Source organism: Homo sapiens, chromosome 12, assembly GCF_000001405.40.
Source record: "Homo sapiens chromosome 12, GRCh38.p14 Primary Assembly".
Taxonomy (NCBI): Eukaryota; Metazoa; Chordata; class Mammalia; order Primates; family Hominidae; genus Homo; species Homo sapiens.
The window spans coordinates 53,584,528-53,606,623 of record NC_000012.12 but is presented as its reverse complement, the minus strand read 5'-3'; the positions used below and the strand labels follow the sequence as shown (position 1 = coordinate 53,606,623).

Sequence of the window (22,096 nt, the reverse complement as noted above, 5' to 3'; positions counted from 1 at the left end):
ACAAACCTGCACGTTGTGCACATGTACCCTAAAACTTAAAGTATAATAATATTAAAATTTAAAAAAAAACGTGCCAGGCCAGGCACAGTGGCTCATGTCTGTAATCCCAGCACTTTGGGAGACCAAGGCGGGTGGATCACCTAAGGTCTGGAGTTGGAGACCAGCCTGACCAACATGGAGAAACCCCATCTCTACTAAAAATACAAAATTAGCCAGGCGTGGTGGCACATGCCTGTAATCTCAGCTACTTGGGAGGCTGAGGTAGGAGAATCGCTTGAATCCGGGAGGCAGAGGTTGTGGTGAGCCGAGATCATGCCATTGCACTCACTCTAACCTGGGCAACAAAAGCGAAACTCCGTCTCAAAAAAAAAAAGTGCCCTTTCTGCTGCATACTCTATTGGCATTCTCTTGTACTTGAATATATATATATATATCTTAATAGCTCAGGTGAGGTTTTGTTTTTAAGGTTTGATTAGGGGTTAACTTGACAAACTACTCCCTTCTTTCCATTTTTAGCAGTGTAACCAAAAACTACAGAGCTTCATGTTATTTGGGTGACAAAAGCATAGACTTGGTTGGCTGTGGTCATATAAAGTGCCTTAGGCATAACATAGTCATAAATATGGATTTAAAATATGTGTAGCCTTAAATACATAAATACCTGCATAGCAAATATTTTGTGGATCCAGCAGCTTTCTGCAGAAACCTGAAGTTAAGTGCAAACTTAATATAGACTTTAAATATTTATTAAATATTAAATCAGTGAATATTTATTGAATATCTACTGTGTTGTGAGAAGAAAGGCTTCCTGAAGTTTTAATCTAGATCTCTATATTCTACCCCATACCTCTTTTGATTACAGATAATGCAGCCATCCCCTTTCTAGTCAGAAAACTGAAATAACCCTCACCCAGTCACTAACACATCACAATTTCATTTTCCTTTAATAGCAGTTATCTGCTGTTAATCTAAAATTATTTAGCTTACTTGCTTATTACTTGTTTCTTCCTTTTAGAATGTAAATAAGCTCTATGAGGGCAGAAATCATATCTGTCTCATTTACTCTTGAATTACTTGGGCCTAGGGCATATGGCACTGTGCTTAGGCACTGAGTAAATTATTTGGTGAATTAATGAATTTTAAAACTCACTAAATGTGTATAATCCAAAAAGCAAATTACGGTTATTAATTTCAAACTTCTTCCTTCTTAAATCTTTTTTTTTTTTTTTTTTTTGAGACAGAATTTCACTCTTGTTGCCCAGGCTGGAGTGCAATGGCGCAATCTCAGCTCACTGCAAACTCTGCCTCCTGGGTTCAAGCAATTCTCCTGCCTCAGCCTCCCAAGTAGCTGGGATTACAGGCATGCGCCACCATGCCTGGCTAATGTTTGTATTTTTAGTAGAGACAGGGTTTCACCATGTTGGTCAGGCTGGTCTCAAACTCCTGACCTCGGGTGATCTGCCTGCCTCCGCCTCCCAAAGTGCTGGGATTACAGGCATGAACCACCGTGCCTGGCTCCTTATTAAATCTTTTACTAAGACTGTTAACTCCTCTTTTTTATAATCTGGAGTTGCTAGCAAAATAATTTGATAAATGACCATATACATAGCGTCTAAATGATATGTATACTGATCAACCTCTGACTAATTGAACTTGTAAATTAAGCCATCATTCTTAATGATGATGATTTCTTTCATGACAGATGAGTAAAATATTATTTTTGTGTAAAGGCCTATTGTCTTTTTGTTTTTATATCCACTTTGCCTAGCACTTGGTAGTTCCTTATTAGTGGTTTCTGAATGAATTAATGAATGAATGAATGATAGCTAATCTTAACATCTTCTAGATTTTTATGACTCTTTGATACTTACAGTGCATTATCCTTCTAATTTTTTTGTACCTAGCAGTATCTGCTTTTTGTCATTAGGAACCTGATAACAGGCCCCTGGATGTGTTTGTATGTGGCTTTTATTCCTTGCTTAGAGTTGGGCCATCTTATTAACATCAGTTGGTTACTAGAGAAAAGATCACATCACACCATATCTGCATTCTTTTTTCTTATTAAATTATATTGTAATGGTAATATCACACGAGGTTTAGAGAATTTACTTTGTAGTCCTCAGTGACAGACTCCATGCTTAGTCTATTAAAATATATAGATATAGACATATATCTAGATATACATAAATAATCTGTTTTCTTACACAGTGACCATTTTAGGATCTACCTCTGAGATTTTATGAAATTATCTCAGTTATTAAAAATCATTCTCTAAATCTTGGGTTTTCTTCAGTTCTCTCCCAGCATTTACGTAACTTTCTCTTTTGAGTAAGTATTAAGTTTTTTTAATCATTTAAAAAATTCTGGTGACTGAGTACCTGAGCCTTTTCTGCAGATGTTGGCCTCTAGGACAGCTTTTTTATGCATCTTTGTCTTCCCTGTTCTAAGATGTTTGCTGAAAGCATCCCACTTCTCCTTGTCAGTGCTTCTTAATGTGTGTATCCCTCTTCTGTCATTTATTGTTTAGTTCTATAAAATGCTTATGTTTCATCCTGAAGAATAGGTTGGGAAGGAGATGACACACTGAGTGCCATGCCCAGACACATGATCTGCTTGTCAAGCAGTATGGTTATAAATGAGCTGTGAGTTAAATTCTAGTGAGTGGCAGCATTGTTTTTCAAGATTTCCCTTTATGTCTCAGTCTGTTTACACTACAGAAATGTGTTGCTTTTTGTTTTTGAGATGGCATCAGTGAGACCTCACTGATAATTAAAGATTTGTTTTAAGTGTTAGATAGAAATCAGCAAAATGACATTCTTTATATGTAGCAATTGATGCAGCAGACCAGGAGTGAAGGAGAAATTTTTTTAAAAAAGGTGTTAGCTGTGTTTTTTTTTTTAATGGGGAGACAGATCATTCTTATTTTTGTTAAATACTTAAATTTTAAAAATCACTTTAGAGTGAAAAAAATTTTAAACAAGAATAATGGAAACGACAAGAGGCAAGAGATTGAGGGAAAGATTTAAGAATAATTGTGGGTGTTTAAGAAGAGAGGCTTCTTCCTCTCATTGTGATCTCCCTTTGGTGAAAATGGTAAAACAAAGGCCAGCAAATTTAGAAGGAAGCAGGAAATCCTAGTTAGTGGCTGTCAGTTGAATATTTAAGAGCAATGAAAATACTTACTTCTGTTAGATTTTAATGCTTTTTCCCCCCAAATTTTTTTGTTTTTGTTTTTTTTTCTTTCAGAAAGTCATGATTTTTCATCTCTATTTTCTAGTAAGTGTGCCACTAAATAAAATTTGGAAGCCATATAGTGTGATGTGATTGTGCAAAGGCAAGTTACATTTTGAATTTTGTGGTTTGAGGGAAGCCATTCCAGAATTTATTTCACCACTTCCTATGCCAATACTGTCCCACTTCTCAGCAAGAACTCTTTCCCTCCTCTAAATAGGTAGAAAAATGAGAAAATTTAGCATCAAATAACAGAATCAAGATAAAAGTAAGGAATCCTGCCTGATCCTTGTGTTGTGTCTACTCTAGCCCTTGTAGTTTACTTCCTGGTTGAAAATATATTAGAGGACCTCGTTGAAATAAAATTCTCATTTTGTGATTATATTAGGAAAGCAGATTCTGGGACATGTAGTGAAATTTTCTCTAGCACAGGAGTTAGGAATTTTTGCAGAGATGAATTGCTTTCCAGACATGCTCTAAGTTTTCAGCCTTAATGGTCCTGGTCATTGCATTTATTTACTTTTGTTTACTTGTATTTATTTTTTGTAGCATGTTGTAGTTCCCGAAAGTGCTAAAAAAATCATGTATTTAAAACAAACCAACCAACCAGAAAACCCCCCTCATCCTGGGGCTGTGTGAAGAAGAATGAAGCTCTCATTTCCCAGTACCCAATCATCAGCTTGAGCTGGCCTCTCCTAGGAACAGAATTTATTGAAGCAATTTATCCTGGCTAAATGTGATATAAATCCATGTACATGTATGTACGTATAGGCTCTGTTCCATTACAGTAGTGCTGTAGCATCATTTTCCTTCCTAGTTAGACCATGTTTCTATCACACTGAAAGATGACCAAGAAACCCCTTCTATTTTATGGGGCACCCCACAATTTTAAACACCGATTAGTTGTGGAATTACTGATTAGACAACGAGAAATACTGGTTTCTAACCCCACAGTGAGTCCTAAGAGAGTAGGAGAGATGTTACCTAGCTACCCTCTGAGTTTTAAGCATGGTTTTCCGATTACCAGATTCAGTCTAGCACGTTAACATTTTATTTCAACGCGAGCCTGACAGATTGTCCTGACATTTCAGTTTATTTCCAAGATAAAAATTTGAAATTTGGTTACAGTTCTGAAGTCACTTGCAGGCATATTCAAATTGTAGTTCCTCTCTCATCTTCCCTCGTTCGTATTCTTTTGTATACCTTTCTCTTTCATGGAAGGATGTTTGAAAATATCCTTTAGGAGTTTATAAGACTATTTTACCCCCCACTCCATTTTTCTCTTCCACCTTCCAAAATACAGTTTATCTTTTAGGAATTGTTTTTTACTATGATTTGCATTTCTAATCTTTATCCATCTCCACTTCTATTTTTATTCCTAGTTGGAATATGAGAAATTTCTCCCACACATTCAGATTGGAATTATTGTTCTTCAACAAAGAATTTCAATAAACACTTTGAGAGTTTAGCTTCAATAATTTATAAAACGGTATAAACCCTGTTAAAGTCTTCAGAGAAATAGAAGGGATAGATGGTGATGCCTTTTAGTGCCATTTCTTTCATCCCCTGCAGCAGCACACATCTGTTGGCTGCAACAGAGCAGCCCAAGAACACTGGCCGAAAGCAGCACAAACAGCCGGAACATGTTCACCCAGTAAACCCCCAAAGAGTCGACATTTGTTTTATTGCTGCTTTTAAAAACCTAGCCGTAAATAGAATCAGAAGGGGGAAGGGCATCGATACTTCTCCATTTGCCACAGACGATTGGTGGGGGGAGGAGGAGGCTCCCGGTTTTTATTTTTATTTTTTTATTAATGAAAGCCATTTCCCATGTAGCCCAATAGGATGGGTGCTTTGTTTTCTTTGGCAATAATATGGGATAAACAGCCCTTGCCAACAGTCTCGTAGTTTATACACCAGGGAGCCAGATTATGGCCCTGTAAAATGGAGCACCCCTCCTATAATCCCTTAATTAATTAAATGACAAATTTTGGTCTTCTCTCGTTCAGAAATATGGCTTCCGCATCGAGCGTTCAGTGAATTTATTGACATAAGGAACTGCACTAGTTGTAATTCAACAGACTGGAGAAGTGTGTTATATACTGTAGTAGAAAGAGGGAAAATCTAGCAAAGGTTTGAAATTCCTTGACTATTTAGATCTCATTCTTTCTAATTAAAAGTTTCAGTTGAGACACAGTAGATCATATGCCACCTGTCTAATGGGTCTCCCCAAAGTAGCCTGTGTTTACAACTTTGATAGATGGCATTCGTGGAACACCTGTTTCTAGGGTTGATATTTTTGAAGCACTTTTTTTTTTTTTTTGCTCCAGCATATTTAACATAACTTTTTCCCTCACCTCCCCCTCCTCAGCTCCTCTCTGCTATATGAAATATGGGAGACGACAGACCGTTTGTGTGCAATGCCCCGGGCTGTGGACAGGTACGTTTACAATATACTTTATTGTGAATGTCTCGTTGTGAATCAAAGTGGCTGTTTTATCACTAAGGCAAAGAGTTTAAAGCCAGTATTTTACGTGATCACTGGAGGTAATCAGATCAGAGGATTTGCAGTGTGTAAATCCAAGTTATGAGGAAGTGTAGGCACTCTACCGTAATGAAATCTGCCTTGCTGTCTTCCATATTGTTATTCTACTGGTGTTTGTTTCCCACCACACAGTATGGAAAAATACATGTTGCTGTCTCCTCCTTTCTAAAGCTGTCCATCTAAATACAAAGCAAGTTTAGAAATGTTTTCTCTTCATGCCGGGCGCGGTGGCTCACGCCTGTGATCCCAGCACTTTGGGAGGCCGAGATGGGCAGATCACCTGAGGTCAGGAGTTGGAGACCAGCCTGGCCAAAACCCCATCTCTACTAAAAATACAAAATTAGCTGGGTGTGGTGGCACATGCCTGTAATCCCAGCTACTCAGGAGGCTGAGGCAGGAGAATGGCTTGAGCCCAAGAGGTGGAGGTTCCAGTGAGCCGAAATTGTGCGACTGCACTCCAGCCTGGGTGACAAGAGCGAAACTCCGTCTCAAAAAAAAAAAAAGAAAGAAAGAAATGTTTTCTCTTCAACCTGCATGGATATAAAAGTCTGCTTAACATATTTGGAGAGGCAGCTGATAATGTACCCACTCATTGTGAACCTCAATTTGCCAGAATCTATTTGGATTTTTTAAATAAGGAAAAAAAAATTTCTTTTGACTGTTGATCCAGAAAATCATTGTTAGCAGCTACAGCAGATACCTATCTAGGAAAGACGAATCCAATAGAGAACTTGAGATCTCACAGCATTATATAAACATTTTCTCTGTCTAATGCCATAAATGCATTGTTCTGTATGTCAGCTGTCACGTAATTATATTCATATGTGTATATTGTATGTCATTTTTCATCATATGCTTTTTTAATAAAGTAATTTTGTTGAAATCGCCTTTTTTTTTCATTTTGCATCTTCTTAACTCTTCTTCCTAGACCTTCCTCTATTGCCATGTTCCACAAAGGATGAAGAAAGGAATACGAAGGAAGTTTTATTTGCCTTCATTAATTTGTTTTATAGAACTCAAAGGGTTGAGTTTCTGTTCACTTAGGAATATGTCATGTGACTGTCCACTGACACTTACTGGTGGTGTGTGAGATTACACACTAGTTATATTAAACATTGTAAATATCTGGACAAAAAGAAGAGTTAAATTTCAGAGATTCCTATGAATTTGAGAGGTAGATAAAATGGGGGTGGTGACAAGGAATGAACAGAAGGAAGATTCCAAATTCCAGTAAATGCTAAAATTTTGACAAAAGACCAAAAAAGGCATCATATTCTGCAGTATTTGCCATCCTAGGGTGTATTTCCTTTCATGTCAAAGTTTTCAACTTTATTATTTACTACATGTTTCCCCATGTGATTTCATATATATATATAGAATATATATATATCTCCATTTATATATGGATGTATATAAATATTTGCAGTAAAAGCCAGTTGGGAAAATAGAATACATTTGTTTCACTTTTCAGACAGCTTTATTGAAATACATTTCTAAAAATGATCTCTCCTAGCCTGGTATGGCTCATGCCTGTAATCCCAGCACTTTCAGAGTCCAAGGCAGGGTGATTGCTTGAGCTCAGGAGTTTGAGACCAGCCTGGACAATATAGTGAGACCCTGTCTTTACAAAAAAAAAAAATTTAAAAATTAGCCAGGCATGGTGGCACACGCCTGTAGTCCCAGCTACTTGGGAGGCTGATGCAGGAGGATCACTTGAGAGTCCAGGAGTTCAAGGCTACAGTGGGCCATGATCATGCCACTGCACTCTAGCCTGGGCAACAGAGCGAGACACTGTCTCAAAATAAATAAATTTAAAAATGATCTCTCCAAATTTTTACATGGAATTAGATAATACTATTTACTATGATGCTTATGACCGATACCTTGTACCTTTTTCACTTCTTGCTTTTAGTTGAAAAATAGGCATTTTTGGTGAAAAGATTTATTTTTCTAATACTTACCATTATTTTTCTTCACTTATTGTTTAAACTACTCCTGAACTCCTCATATATGTTATATGCTTAAAACAACCCAGACAAGGACTTTGCAAAGAAGTAAAAATAGAAGATAAAAATAAGGAATATATGAGAAAAGCATCTCTTAAGCTCTCTGAGGAAGAAAGATATAAATAACACCTTTTCAGGCTGTCTTATCAGAAAAGAGTAGTATCCACTGAAATTTGTGAAATGTCACAGATTTGTGAAATTTGTTTTTGTTTTGCTGTGTTTTGGACTGGAGGTAGGAAAATAGTAGGGACTTTGACTTTGGTTCCTTCTCGTAAGGTTGTGTTCCATTTACCATAAGCCATTTCCTTCCCCTACTTCTGTCTCCTGTTTCTGAATTATTTGTTGGTATTTTGGTTATTAGGATTCATTATAACCTCCGGCTTAGGTTCTAAAAGCTTTTTTCCCCTCAGTAGGAAGGTGAGTGTGGAACATTGCTACCTCTTTCTTTTGGATTCAAGATACTTATTTCATAGAAAAAGGATACAAAGGTACAACTTAAGGTTTTGAAGGTAGCATGATTCACCCATTTACCCCCTTTGCATGTCAAAACTTTATGGTCAGGTGAGATTATAGTTCTTTAGTTATATTTAGTCTCTTCCAAGTTTCTCCCACGATCTGGTAACAAATAACTCTAGATTGGGATCTCTACAAGATTTACTGTGATTGCTTTATGTGTATGAAATAGTGAAAATCTGGCAGATAAGATAAATTTGGTAAAGTGAACTACCCTTAGCCTGTCATCCAACTTCCTTAATATCCCTTGAGAATGGTTTCATTCTGGAGCCACCTTGAGCCTTTCAAACTATTTGTAATCCATTTGTCATTGATTCAAGTTCTTTCTTCCAGAAATGGTAGAATAATAAAAAGGCTATGTAAATCCCAGGATGGGTAATAAGGACCATGATAATTTTTGCAAGACGTGGTTTAGAACCTGCTACCATAGAAGTCTCAAAAAGCAGTGGCTTCTACTGGGTAGAGGAAGTAGGAATGAAAACAATTATAACTCAGGATACTATTTTTTTTTTTTTTTTTTGAGACAGAGTTCCACTCTGTCGCCCAAGCTGGAGTGCCGTGGCGCTATATCAGCTCACTGCAAGCTCCGCCTCCTGGGTTCACGCCATTCTCCTGTCTCAGCCTCCCGAGTAGCTGGGACTACAGGCACCCGCCACCACACCCAGCTAATTTTTTGTATTTTTAGTAGAGACAGGGTTTCACCGTGTTAGCCAGGATGGTCTCAGTCTCCTGACCTCGTGGTCCTCCCGTCTGAGCCTCCCAAAGTGCTGGGATTACAGGCGTGAGCCACCGTGCCTGGCTACTATTTCTTAAAAAACAAACAAAACTATAGGAACCTTGCATTATGTCAATATCTGCTCCTTGCCCAGACTTTACCCTATGCATTCCTAAACTCAGAAATTGTCCTGTGCCTTAATATTAAGGGAAGGTGAAAGGAAAATTCACCCAGAATAGACTAGTGGATTATGCTCTCCACTATATAATCAAAACCACTAGGCTTTCAATGGATACGTAAACATGTTTTGGTTGCTAGGTCTTTAATGGCTGTTATTTTTGGATTCTGTTCATGATCCACTTCCCACCAGTAAGTCTGATGTGACACAGCTGAGTTCTAAATATGCTGCATGTGCTTAAAAAAAAAACGCTGCTGAAGGTTGTGCTGTCTGCATTCTTAGCGGAAAAGACAGGTGATAGGGTTTTTTAGCCCTGTTATTCCTATTCTCCTGTTGAGATTTTTTTGTTTCTCTTGAGGCCTCATCAACCTCATGAAGAGGAACTCAGGGAAAGCAATATCCCTGCTAATACCTCTCTGTGGAATGTGGTAGCAGGAGCAGTTAATAGAGCTGCCTCCTGAGAATGGGGTTAGTGTTGTTAAGGCAACAGTGCCCCAGATACCCTCTTGGCAGAGGACTGGTTGAATTTGAGTTGTATGGGTTTTTGAAATGTTTATAAGATAGCATCTATTTAAAGACATTGTGACTATAAAACAGCTTTGTGTTGTTAAAATAATAGAAATATAGTTTGGTACTGAATCTATTAATAGGAAGTCTTATAAGTTTTTTATACTTTTGGAGGACGCTTTTACTTGAATATGGATTATAAAATTGTTCCATTGTATGTGGAAGCGGGAATAAATACTATGTCTCTGTCAGTAATCTTGAATTTTAGATGTTATTTCATATAAACGCAGTTAGATAACTTACCTTTTGGATGCTTTTTGCCCAGTTTTTTATTACTGGGATCAACAAATTCCATATTCCTATGCCTCCCTCTCAGGCACATGACACAGGTTTGCAGTATAAATTATGCAGATTTAAGTAGTCTTTCTGGTTACCATAATCAAGTGTTTGAACAGAAGCTGGTCATATCAGCTTATCAGAATGTCAATTTCCTTAAAAACAGGAACGCATTTCCTCTGAGGAGATACTACTCATGGAGAGTTAGTATCATCTTGTTCTTAGCCAGTGAGAAAGGTTTCTGTCATAACTATTTTGTATCACCTCCATCCTTTTTTTGTTTTGTTTTTGTGAGATGGAGTTTCGCTCTTATCGCCCAGGCTAGAGTGCAGTGGCGCGATCTCGGCTCACTGAAACCTCTACCTCCTGGGTTCAAGTGATTCTCCTGCCTCAGCCTCCCAAGTAGCTGGGATTACAGGCGCCCACTGCCACTCCCGGCTAATTTTTTTGTATTTTTAGTAGAGACAGGTTTCGCCATGTTGATCAGGCTGGTCTCGAACTCCTGACTGGAGGTGATCTGCCCCTCTTGGTCTTCCAAAGTGCTGGGATTTCAGGCATGAGCCACCACACCCAGCCCACCTCTGTCCTTTTAAGGAAAAAATCCTTCGATTATTTCTCTGTCCAGTGTGACCCTGAGGGGCTATTACTCTTTTTTTGCCTGGAGAGATCTACTGTCAGATCTTCTTCTCTTCTCCCAGAGGACATTTAGGTACAGGTTGAAATTCTCTTCATATCTTTCTAACTGAGATACGAAACATATAACTAACTCATAGACCTCTGGGGCCTGCTTTTCCTTTCTAAGGCCAAGAATAGTGATGGAGCCCTAGTTGTGATGGGATTGAGGGCAGCTTCTTGTACCTCCTTATCTTGTCATATAATAGGAATAATGTTTATGGTGTTGTAGTCCTGGCTTCACTTGGCATTTAACCAACCTCCAAAGCTGTTTATTGCTTCGTATCCTCTGCCTCCATGAACATTATCCCTTAAATCTCTATTGCTCTGTAATATATGAGGCAACAAATAGCTCCTATGATTGGTTAAATGCTGGCATGCTGCAAAGGTATATGTTTTATTGCCTATATAACACAAATCTATAGAGATTATTCCTGTTATCCCAGCCCTCCCATTAAATGGGCCATACTGGTACTGTGGGACTCTGGATCTTTAATTCTGTCCCTTTGGCAAGTTGCCCTATTATCTGGCATAAGCACAAAAGAAAAGCAGGAAAGAATGAGTTGGTGGTGATTACTAATTCTTTATGTTAGGGAAGCATCTTGAATTGGAGAATTACGAGGGGAAGCAATGGCTCTGGTAGGTAAATGCCATTTGTGGTAGTATATGCTATGTTTACATGTTTCGACAGGTGAAGGCAATTTCAGGCAAAAAAATAAGCCTTTTTTCCCCACCCTCTGCCAAGAGTTTTTTAAAATTCTAATTTTTATTAAATAATTCATATTTCATTCAATAATTCATCTAGTTCCCATCTGGTAAGAGTGCCTGCATGCTGTCAGGCAGCTGAAAATACACGGCATTATACACAAATTAGGCCAAATGCTAAACCTTATTTTTTGTATTATGTTGACTTTGCAGTAACTTTCAGTTCACTCTCTGGATGCTGCAGTAACCTGTGGTGGAAGTAGACCGCTCTTACGTATCATATAGACAAAACTGGGACTGGGATTTTTTTTTTTCTTTTTTTTTTTTTGAGATGGGGTCTCGCTCTGTCACCCAAGCTGGAGTGCAGTGGTGTGATCTCGGCTCACTGCAACCTCTACCTCCCAGGTTCAAGCGATTCTCCTGCCTCAGTCTCCCCAGTACTGGGACTATAAGCGCCCACCACCATACCTGGCTAATTTTTGTATTTTTTAGTAGAAATGGGGTGTCGCCATGTTGGCCAGGCTGGTCTTGAACTCCTGACCTCAGGTGATCCGCCTGCCTCAGCCTCCCAAAGTGCTGAGATTACAGGCGTAAGCCACCGCACTTGGCCTGGGACTGGAATTTTTAAAATGTAGACATGCTAAGAGCAGGAATTAAACTCAAGTTTCTTAATGTCAGATCTGATACTCTTGACACTTGCCCTTAGAAACATGTAGTTGATTATTTTTGTTTTTCATGTTATATTTAAACAAATATATGTATGTTACTAGAGCACAGTAGATTAAAAGCATCCTTGCTCCAGTCTGCCCTTCCCAAAAAAGGCTGTATGAATCTAATTGGTACTACACGCAGGAAATTAAGGTGACATTTTTCAGTTATTCCCTCTTGTTTTCCTTAGATATAACTTAATATTTGAAACGGGAGCCCAGAAACTGTTCTCAGAGCATTCCTGTTAGAAAAAAAATAAAATCCTTTCTTTGCATCTCAGCTCTTCCTAAGTTAAAAGGCCTCTTTCCTACTCCCTTCTTTTGCAAACTGCTGAGTTTACAAAGTGCCTTCTGAATCTTAGAGCCTGTCTTTCATTTATCCTTCCTTTGCCACTCTGGCAAAACTACATATAGCATATAGCTAGGTTGTTGACTTACAAGATATTGTCATTATATAGAATTCCTCATTCTTTTATCAAATAGTCTTCCAGCGAATGCAGCAGATTAAAAAGCAGCCAGCGTACTCCCTCTCTCTGGTTAGCGTATTTCTTTAATGCAGATTGACTTGCTCAGCAGTCGCATTCTGTCTGAAGCCCTTGTTAGGGCCTCTCTGTATGTGGATTCATAACACATCTGTGTGTACATCTACAGTGCTGTATAAATAATAATAAGTAATCAGCAGATGGCCTATAACTGCTCCTCTGGACCCGCTGGGTCTCTTGAAGCTGTTAGTAAAGTCTTCTGGCGTTTTACTGGGGAAAACTTGTCATAGATTTATTTCTAAAAAAATTCAAACTCACAACTGGATGTTTAGGACTAGATATTGCTGTCTGTGTTGTAAATATTTAACAGGCTTTGTACAATGACAAGTAAAAGCGCCATTACTAACCACATACAGTGGCTGTGGAGCTCTTCCCTCCTGGCCATTTAGAAAGGAAAAGAAATGCCAATAAATTGTACATTATGAATAAGGTACAAGAGATGCTCTCTGGAAGATTTTTCTGAAGAGAAAAATAATTTCAACATTCTGCTCAAAGAGTTGTGACTGGGCAAACTTAAGCTTTTTAACTATGTGCCAGTGACTTAAACACAATGCCACTTTTATTTTTTTTTTAGAGATAGGGTCTTGTTCTGTCACCCAGGCTGGAGTACAGTGGTGCAATCATAACTCACTGAAGCCTGCAACTCCTGGGCTCAGGCAGTCCTCCTGAATAGCTGGGACTACAGGTGCACACCACCATGCTTGGCTAATTTTATGTTTTTATTTTTAGAGACAGGGTCTTGCTGTGCTGCCCAGGCTGGTCTTGAACTCCTAGCCTAAAGCAGTCCTCTCACCCGAGGCTCCCAAGTACTTGGGATTACAGTCATTAGCAACTGCACCTGGCACAAAGTCTTTTAAAGTGGACTTTGTAATATTTTAAGAAAAGCCCCATGCTCTGGAGTTCAGTCATACTGAGATTTTAATCCTAATAGAGTCTTTATAACCAAATGATAAACCTTTCTGAAAGAATTACAGTGCTAGTCGACATTTGGTTAAATGTCAGGCCTTTGGTTATGTCTAAAAACTTAACACATAAAGTATAGTGTTTGCCAATATTATTTATAAAGCAAAATATCTTTATTTTTGTCCTCTTTCCATTAATTTTTGTGAAAAGGTTATGTATTTAGTTTGGGGGAAAATGTTATTCTGATTTTCTGCTTATAATTTTCTGTGCTGTTTTGCTATTACTAATCACTTTGCTTCAGTACCTATTGTACTAGTGTACTTAGTACAATAATACATGTTTTTTAAAATCACAATAGAACTCATCACCCCCAAATTTGAGGGTTTTTTTTCTTTGTTTGCTATCATAAGATAACAACACATGTTTTAAACAGAAATTGGGTATCTTAACTGTCAAGCCTAGTTTTCTTTTGTCTGTTGGGGGTTGAATCTATTTAACCACAGAGAGCTTGTCCTTTAAATCGTAGCATGTGGATGTTACTTTTGAGGTAGAATGTGTAGAATGGTTTTCTGTTTCAAAATCTCATCTTGAAGAATTGACATACAAATTGTGAAGAAGAAATAGTTTTAATAGTTTATTGTAGGGAGATGTTGCTTTTTAAAGTTTTGTCTCAAAATTATCATGTTAAGGATAGGATTTCAAGAAGGAAAGCATCATGGAGAAAAGATAGAAGCTTTGAGGTTTATCTCTTTGTAACAGTGCCTTTGTGTTTTTACTTCGAAATTTCTTTGTGCAGTGAAATATGCTACCTTTGTATTTGTGCTTTGGTAAGAATGTGGACTGTTTGCAATTGTCATGTGAAAGTACAAAGAGAATGAGAATGAATTTTGTGAAATTAGCTCATTCCCAGTCTGGCACACCATGTGCCCTGTGTGACTGCTGATTCTGCTGGCAGATTGAAGTGCCGAACCAACTTCTGCTCTAACTGCTAAAATTGCCAGCCATCATTCCAAGCTTTTAAATCTTGTTGTTCACATCAGCGATGTCAGATTTTGAGCAAACATAGCTCTGTCTTTAAATCCCAGTGGAATTTGCAATTCCCTGGATTGAAAGGAAAGAGTTGTTCCTTTTTGCCTTTGAAAAACTTGAGTGGCTGTGCGGGGAAAGTCAGCAGAATAAATCTGCAGCCTTGCTGTGTCCTTTGAGTCATTGTAGAAAGCTGAGTGCTCTGTTCGACATTCAGCAGATTGGCTGTCAGAGTTGCACCGCTGCTTATCAAAGACATGGTCTCTCAAAGAGCCATTTATGTTATTCCAGAGAGAATCATCCTGTGGCAAAAGGAACACCTCCTTTCTCCTCCCAAGGGTCAGATCTTCTTTTGATACTGGGCAATTATCCCTTGCTTTTCCTGAAAAATAGCTCAATCCACTATAAAGATTGGCACCAGCACAGGTTGCTGATTTGGTTACAATGACAAGCTCTGATTCCTTAGCCACAGGGAGAGGCATCAGGGTGATACTCGTAAGTATGCCAGAGGCTTAATGGTGGTGATTTTTCTGCTGAGAAACTCAGTGTCCCTTTTAAGTGTCTTGGCTTCTGTTCTCTTTCTGTGAGGGAAATAAATTTGTTTTAGTTGTTTGCACACTAGTCACTATAAAATGCCACTATGAGGTTGTCTTTCCTTCACTTCCTCAAGCTTCTTTCCTGTCTTTAGTTATTGTCCTTTAGTTACTGTTTGAGATCAAGCCCTACAGTCTAATTTTTTACATTTTTATGTCCTTTTTATACAGCTTATCTTGGCTCTTATTAGCCGTGGTACTGGTGGGGATTATTCGCCAGTGTTTCCTCTATTTAAAAAAATTAATAGACTTTATTTTTTAGAGCAGCAGTAAGCGTATAGAAAAATTGAGTGCAGAGTAGAGTTCCCGTATACCTCCTCACTCCACCCCTACTCACAATTTCCTTTATTGTTAACATCTTGCATCAGTGTGCTATATTTGTTACAATTGTTGAACCAAATATTAATACATTATTATTAACTAAAGGCCATAATTTTCATTAGTGTTCACTGCCTATACATTCTGTGGGGTTTCGCAAATGTATAATAATATGTATCTACTATAACAATACCATATGGAATAGTCTCACTGCCATAAAAATCTCCACCTATTCATCCCACCCTTCTGAACCCCCGGTAACCACTGATCTTTGTACTGTCTCTGTAGTTTCACTTTTTCTAGAATGTCATGTAGTAGGAATCATATAGCCCTCTGATTTTTTAAAGTTGTGAGTAGATAAGCATGTGATTGGAAATTGCTGGAAAAAAATGGGGAGAGGAAATTAGACGTGGGAGACTCCACAGCTCCAAGTTCTATCTAAAACTCCAAGCATTTATCCAGGGAGATTTAGGTGGCCCAGCCTTTCTTCTTCTCTGTTGGGAGTCTCTCTGATGTTATAGGAATTAGCTTGCCTAGTGACAGTTTTATTGGTTCTAGGTGTTAGGAGCAAGGACAAGATGAACACTGAATGGGCTGTATCTGGGGAATCAAGGTATTAGGGTTGAGCAAAAGCAAGAGGAAGTAGAGCATTTGATCTCTTTTCCTTTGATTAGGTTGAGGACAATAAAGTCTCATTCTCTCCCTTCTTCCCATGGGCAGCCTTATATATGATTGAAGAACATTAGTGCAAAGATTCCTCATCCAGAAATAAACTCTTGTACTTCTATACTAATTAAAGATTCATGTAAATTACTAAGTTCTTGGAAAACTATGGAGAACTCTGTGGGGGCTGTCATTCACACTTTAGTATGAATTGGTTTAATGACGACTGTGATATTGGCTACATAAAGAAATGGACGTTTTTATTTGGGGTTAGGGGATCACAGATGTGGACTGGCTTAGGTAGAATGGTCCCTGAGCAAAGGAGATATTGAAGTTTATGAGGATGTGCAAGATAAGCAGATTTACTTTTGCATTTTATTTTGGGCTATCTCAGCTTCTTTTACTAGAAGCTCATGCCTATAATCCCAGCACCTTGGGAGGCCAAGGCAGGAGGATTGCTTGAAGCCAGGGGTTCGAGATCAGCCTGGGCAACAAAGCGAGACCCTGACTCTACCAAAAAATAAAAATAAAAATAAAAAAAGAAACTACTTGAGAAGTGTAAGTGTTAAGAATAGCCCAGATAAACACTGGAACCAACTTAATTTAGAAAGAAAGAACCATTTCTTCCTTTCCCTACTCTGGAAAATTTAGATTGATAAAATATGGGGGAAGGAGAAATACTGATTTCTGTAGTTCTAGGACTCATGGTTCCTGTCTGCTTAGAATTCTAGCTCGTTGGTACGGAGTAGGATCTTCTTTCATAGAGATATTGTCTCTTTACCCTCTCGATTTGACTAAATATGAGAATCTCCCAGTCTTGGCTCAGTACTACTTTCCTAACTTGTCAGACTGAACTGACTCTGTGGTAAAGTGAACACTAGCCTAGGGAAAGTTCTTAGCATGGTGGTCAGGGTTAACATCAATTAGTGCATATTAACAGGTCATGTATGCATACATGTATATACAATTTAGAGGAAATGTGTTTATATAAGGTACAGGAAAATGATCTTTCCATCCAGAAAGCATACAGGGAAGGGAGAGAATAAAATACAATGAAAATTGTTTGATTTCATTGATAACACAGCAGCAACAGCAGCAATAATTATAGCTCACTGAGCTTTTATCATGTACTCTGCCAAAGTACTTTACAGGGATATTTTATTTAATCCTAGCAACCTCTGAGGGAGAATTACCAGTGAGAAAACTAAGGCTCAGAGAACTAACTTGTACAGGGTTACTCAGTATTTTGTGATGGAGTTGTAACATAAACCCAGATGGTTAGACTCCATACCAGCTCTCTTAACCACTCTGCTAAATTGCTTCCTTATTATTTTCCATACGCACATCAGTATCCACATCTAGCCTAGAAAAAAATGAGTAAGTAGTGTTTTTTTGGTAAATGGTCCAAATCAGTCAGCTAAGTCTTTTGTATAGTTTATTACTGATCTATATATCTAGCTGCCATACCAGAGAGAGCTAAATCTGTAGCTGAGCTCTGCCTGAGCAAAAAACAAAGCAAACAAAAAAAAAAGGTGTAAATTCTTATGAAAATGAAGAAATCTTTCTGCAACTGCCTCAGCCCTAGTCTACAATGTTTTTTATCTGCCTGGTAATGATGCTGAAATGTGTCTACTCTCTGAGGTAAACCACCATCATTTTGCAGCAAGGACATGATTCTAAAGAGGAAAGAAAATTAATTTTTGGCCAACCAGAAACGTAGACAGAACAAGAAACCTGGGACCTAAAATCAAGGCTTCAGCATCCTCTACTAATAGGCCCAGAGAAGCATTGTGGGTGTCATCTTTGTGCATTCTAGGCTAGGTTACTTCCTGATCCATATTTTCTTCTTTCTCGCCTTAGTTTTATGCCCATAAGCTCCCACATACAAAGGATGGGTATCTTGCTTTGACTAGTGCCATGTAGTAATTGGGGCTTTTGTTCTGGTGGCTGCCATACTTATTGGTAAGAGGAAATATGACTAAGGTGGAATTAGGGTATGATTAGAACAACACTATAATGAGATGTATAATCTGCTCAGTGATTGCTAACTTGCTTATTCTCTGACATTTTTGGCATATGGCTACATAGAGGATCTCGCCTGTTGAATAATACAATTCTCCACTCAGGTCTCACATCCTGTCCTTCTTTGACTTCATAGCACCTCTACACATCTGCTTTTTCCTTTTGTCTTAGAAACTGTGCTGTGTTAATGCAATGGAAATTTCATTTATCATCACAAGTGAAAATATATGGCTATGTAGATTCATGGAAATATTTACATGAAATAATTTAAGTGATAAAAATATGTAGAAGTGGCCGGGCGCAGTGGCTCATGCCTGAAATCCCAGCACATTGGGAGGCTGAGGCCAGCGAATCACCTGAGGTCAGGAGTTCGAGACCATCCTGGCCAACATGGTGAAACCCTGTCTCTACTAAAACTACAAAAATTAGCTGGGGGTGGTGGCAGGTGCCTATAATTCCAGCTACTAAGGAGGAGGCTTAGGCAGGAGAATTGCTTGAACCTGGGAGGCAGAGGTTGCAGTGAGCTTAGATCGTGCCATTGCACTCCAGCCTGGGTGACAGAGCAAGACTTCGTGTCAAAAAGAAAAAAAAAAAAAAATATATATATATATATATATATATGTAGAAGTATACATAGAGGATCAAAAGAGACCAGAGAATCTAATAGTTGATATTTACAGTAAAGGGATTCTTTGTATATGTTGTCTGAATGTCTTTAACTGGAAAGTTGCTTAAAACATACATTTTCCCATTTTCCTTTTTTTTTTTTTGATCGCTCTATCACTCAGGCTGGAGTGCACTGGAGTACAGTGGTGCGATCTCAGCTCACTCACTGCAACCTCTGCCTCCCACGTTCAGGCGATTGTCGTGCCTCAGCCTCCCAAACAGCTGAGACTACAGGTGTGAACCAGCTAGTTTTAGTATTTTTTTGGTAGAGATGGGGTTTCACCATATTGGCCAAGCTGGTCTTGAACACCTGACCTCAAGTGATCCAAGTGATCCGCCCATCTCAGCCTCTCAAAGTGCTGGGATTACAGGCGTGCGTCACGTTTTCCTTCTTTTTTTTTTTTTTTTTGATGCGGAATTTCGCTCTGTCACCCAGGCTGGACTATAGTGGCACAAACTCGGCTAACTGCAGCCTCCACTTCCCAGGTTCAAGTGATTCTCCTGCCTCAGCCTCCCAAGTAGCTGGGACTACAGATGTGCACCACCAAGCCCAGCTAATTTTTGTATTTTCAGTAGAGATGGGTTTTCACCATGTTGGCCAGGCTGGTCTCAAACTCTTGACTTCAAGTGATCCGCCCTCCTCAGCCTCCCAAAGTGTTGGGATTAGAGGCGTGAGCCACCGTGCCCAGCACATTTTCCTTCTTGATTCTGATGATTCATTGTATATCTGTGAACCATGTGAAATTAACTGTGCATTCAGCTGCAGGAAATACCTGACTAGAGTCTTGTCTTTTCCACCTCTTACCACGAAGTCAAGTTCTTGGCTTCAGAACTGAGACTGCCTCACTGGGTAAGGTTGTAACTGACCAAAATGATCACTCGTGATATCCAAAGATCTCATTTGTTTATTTTGCTGGGTGCCTCTGATAGACCAGTTAGTTGTGTGTGAGCGTGCACGTGTGTGCGTGTGTGTGTGTATTTGTGTGTGTGTGAGAGAGTGATGACAGGAGTTCCTATAAAAAAGTAAATGCAAAGAAAAAGTGGTTCAGGGCAGCAGCCTGTAGAACTGAGCTAAAAGCTTGGCTCCTGAGAAGTTATCAGAGAGACAGTGACAGTTTAATAGGATGGATGAAGACTACATTTTAATGCTAAGCTTTGATTACCTCCATTTTATGTCTCTGTTCTCAAGCTCACTGACAATAACAAATCTTACATTGGCATAGTTATTTGAATCAAGTGAAAAGAGGTGTTCAGATAGTTTTAAAGATCTCAGTTGTAGTACATACCTGGAGTTTGTATAATACTAGAATGGGTAAATAGTATTATAGACATCTGTCACTTCAGTGAACATCTTTTTTTTTTTTTACATGGTGGCAATCTATGCACATTAATTTTTTAAATTACATTATGTTCATAACTTCAGACATTTGTCATTTTACTTCAGTTTCAGGTATTTTTTAGGACTAACGGAGACTGTAGTCTCCTTAGGTTGTACGTATTGTGAGGGAACAATAAAAGTAGTCTAAAAATTTCAGGGGTCTAGATGTCTGTGTATGTTTTATAAAATATCATATTATATTCAACACTTTAACTTTCCCTCTTCAGTCTTTCCTGTTCTTTCCTTCTAGGCTTTACCTAGATAATTGCAATAGTGGATAGGGGAGACTTTATTTCAGCCTTCTTTCACTTTCTGTGCATTTGAAACTATAACTAGACAGGACCTTATGGAGGTTTGTACTTTCAGTTATGCATATTTGACTGCCCAGATGAGGAGATTGTATTCACATACATAGCTGCTCTTGGCAGAGTCATGGTTAAAGGTTTGAACATACTGTACCTTGTTGGCTATTCCCATAGTCCTAAGGGAGGCATTTTGCTTCTCCATAGACAGTAATCGGCTTGTCAGAGTGGAGTGGCTTTTTGTTTTTCCTTTATCTAGTAGAATGGAGTGGGCTAAGCCTTTCTGGGAAGCAATTTCTTCCTCCACCGCATGAACAGAAGGTCATGGATACTGTCTCTGAAACAAAGGGGAGGTAGTGATAGAAAAATCAGTGTCTGGGGCATAATTGGATTGAAGCTCTGTCAAGGAGACACCAGTTCCTGCTTGGAAGCTGGACTTTCTGCTATGCTTTGGTTTTCTGTCTTTTCTGAGCACTGTATGAGAATGAATATGCAAGAAGCTATTCACATTTACTTAGTGGTTTTCAGTCTTTTCTTTTTTCATTTATGCTCTTCCTTTGCTTTTTTTTAAATTAAGAAACTATTTTTTTTAGAGCAGTTTTAGATTCACAGCAAAATTGAGTGAAAAGTGCAGAGGATTCTCATATACCTCCTGTCCTCACACACACTAGCCTCCCCCACTGTCAACATACTGAACCACAATGCTAATTTGTTACATTCAATGAACCTGCATTGACATATTATCACCCAAGTCCATAGTTTATATTAGAATTCACTCTTGGTATTACAAATTCTGTAGGTTTTAACAAATATATAATGAGGCCGGGCACAGTGGTTCATGCCTGTAATCTCAACACTTTGGGAAGCCGAGGCAGGAGGATTGCTGGAGCCCAGGAGTTCAAGACCAGCCTAGGCAACATAGTGAGACCCCATCCTTACAAAAAAAAAATTAAAAATTAGCCAGGTGTGGTAATGTGCACCTGTAGTCCCAGCTATTCAGGAGGCTGAGGTGGGAGGACTGCTTGAGCCCGGGAGGTCAAGGCTGCAGTGAGCCATGATTGTGCCACTGCACACCAGCCTGGGCAACAGAGTGAACTCCTGTCAAATCAATATATAAAATGACACGTATCCACCATTGTAGTATCATACAGAATAGTTTCACTGTCCTAAATATCCTCTGTGCTCTGCCTGTTCATCCCTCACTTCCCACTGACCGCTGGCAAGCACTGATCTTGCCAAAACTACTGTCTCCGTAGTTTTGCCGTCTACAGAATGTTGTTTAGTTGGAATCATACAATATAAGGCCGTTTCATACTAGCTTCTTTCATTTAGTAATATGCATTTAAGTTTCTTCCTTATCTTTTCATGGCTTGATACCTTATTTCTTTTTAGTGCTGAGTAATATTCCATTGTCTGAATGTACCACAATTTATCCATTCACCTGCTGAAGGACATCTTCATTGCTTCCGAGATTTGGCAATTATGAGTAAAGAAAGCTGCTATATAAATATCCATGTGCAGGCTTTTGTGTGGACATAAGTTTTCTGTTCATTTGGGTAAATATCAAT

At 38.7% G+C, this 22,096-nt stretch overlaps 2 protein-coding genes and 1 long non-coding RNA gene across 15 annotated transcripts in view, besides 1 other annotated feature; 2 read left to right on the top strand and 1 right to left on the bottom strand.

Moving 5' to 3' along the window:
• ATF7-NPFF (ATF7-NPFF readthrough) overlaps positions 1–22,096 on the top strand; it is a 119,695-nt gene that overhangs the window by 19,759 nt on the left and 77,840 nt on the right. For all 3 annotated transcript variants that reach the window (NR_159377.1, NM_001366560.1, NM_001366559.1), the window contains exon 2: positions 5,603–5,671. Coding sequence is in view for 2 of the 3 variants with exons in the window: in NM_001366560.1 (NP_001353489.1) it covers positions 5,624–5,671 (48 nt within the window). In the remaining variant the exon portion in view is untranslated. The remainder of the gene's footprint in view (positions 1–5,602; positions 5,672–22,096) is intronic.
• The window catches only part of ATF7 (activating transcription factor 7), a 118,527-nt gene that overhangs the window by 19,759 nt on the left and 76,672 nt on the right, over positions 1–22,096 (top strand). For all 11 annotated transcript variants that reach the window (NR_073163.2, NM_001366561.2, NM_001130060.2 and 8 more), the window contains exon 2: positions 5,603–5,671. Coding sequence is in view for 10 of the 11 variants with exons in the window: in NM_001366561.2 (NP_001353490.1) it covers positions 5,617–5,671 (55 nt within the window). In the remaining variant the exon portion in view is untranslated. The remainder of the gene's footprint in view (positions 1–5,602; positions 5,672–22,096) is intronic.
• Positions 2,532–2,732: a silencer, noted in NCBI's record as "peak1736 fragment used in MPRA reporter construct". NCBI's record gives its function as "represses an SCP1 promoter by STARR-seq MPRAs in K562 erythroleukemia cells {active_cell/tissue: K562}" and the evidence as "EXISTENCE:reporter gene assay evidence [ECO:0000049][PMID:32103011]".
• The window catches only part of LOC124902937 (uncharacterized), a 50,712-nt gene continuing 49,162 nt past the window's right edge, over positions 20,547–22,096 (bottom strand). The window contains exon 3 of the long non-coding RNA XR_007063316.1: positions 20,547–20,865. This is a non-coding gene — a long non-coding RNA (uncharacterized LOC124902937). The remainder of the gene's footprint in view (positions 20,866–22,096) is intronic.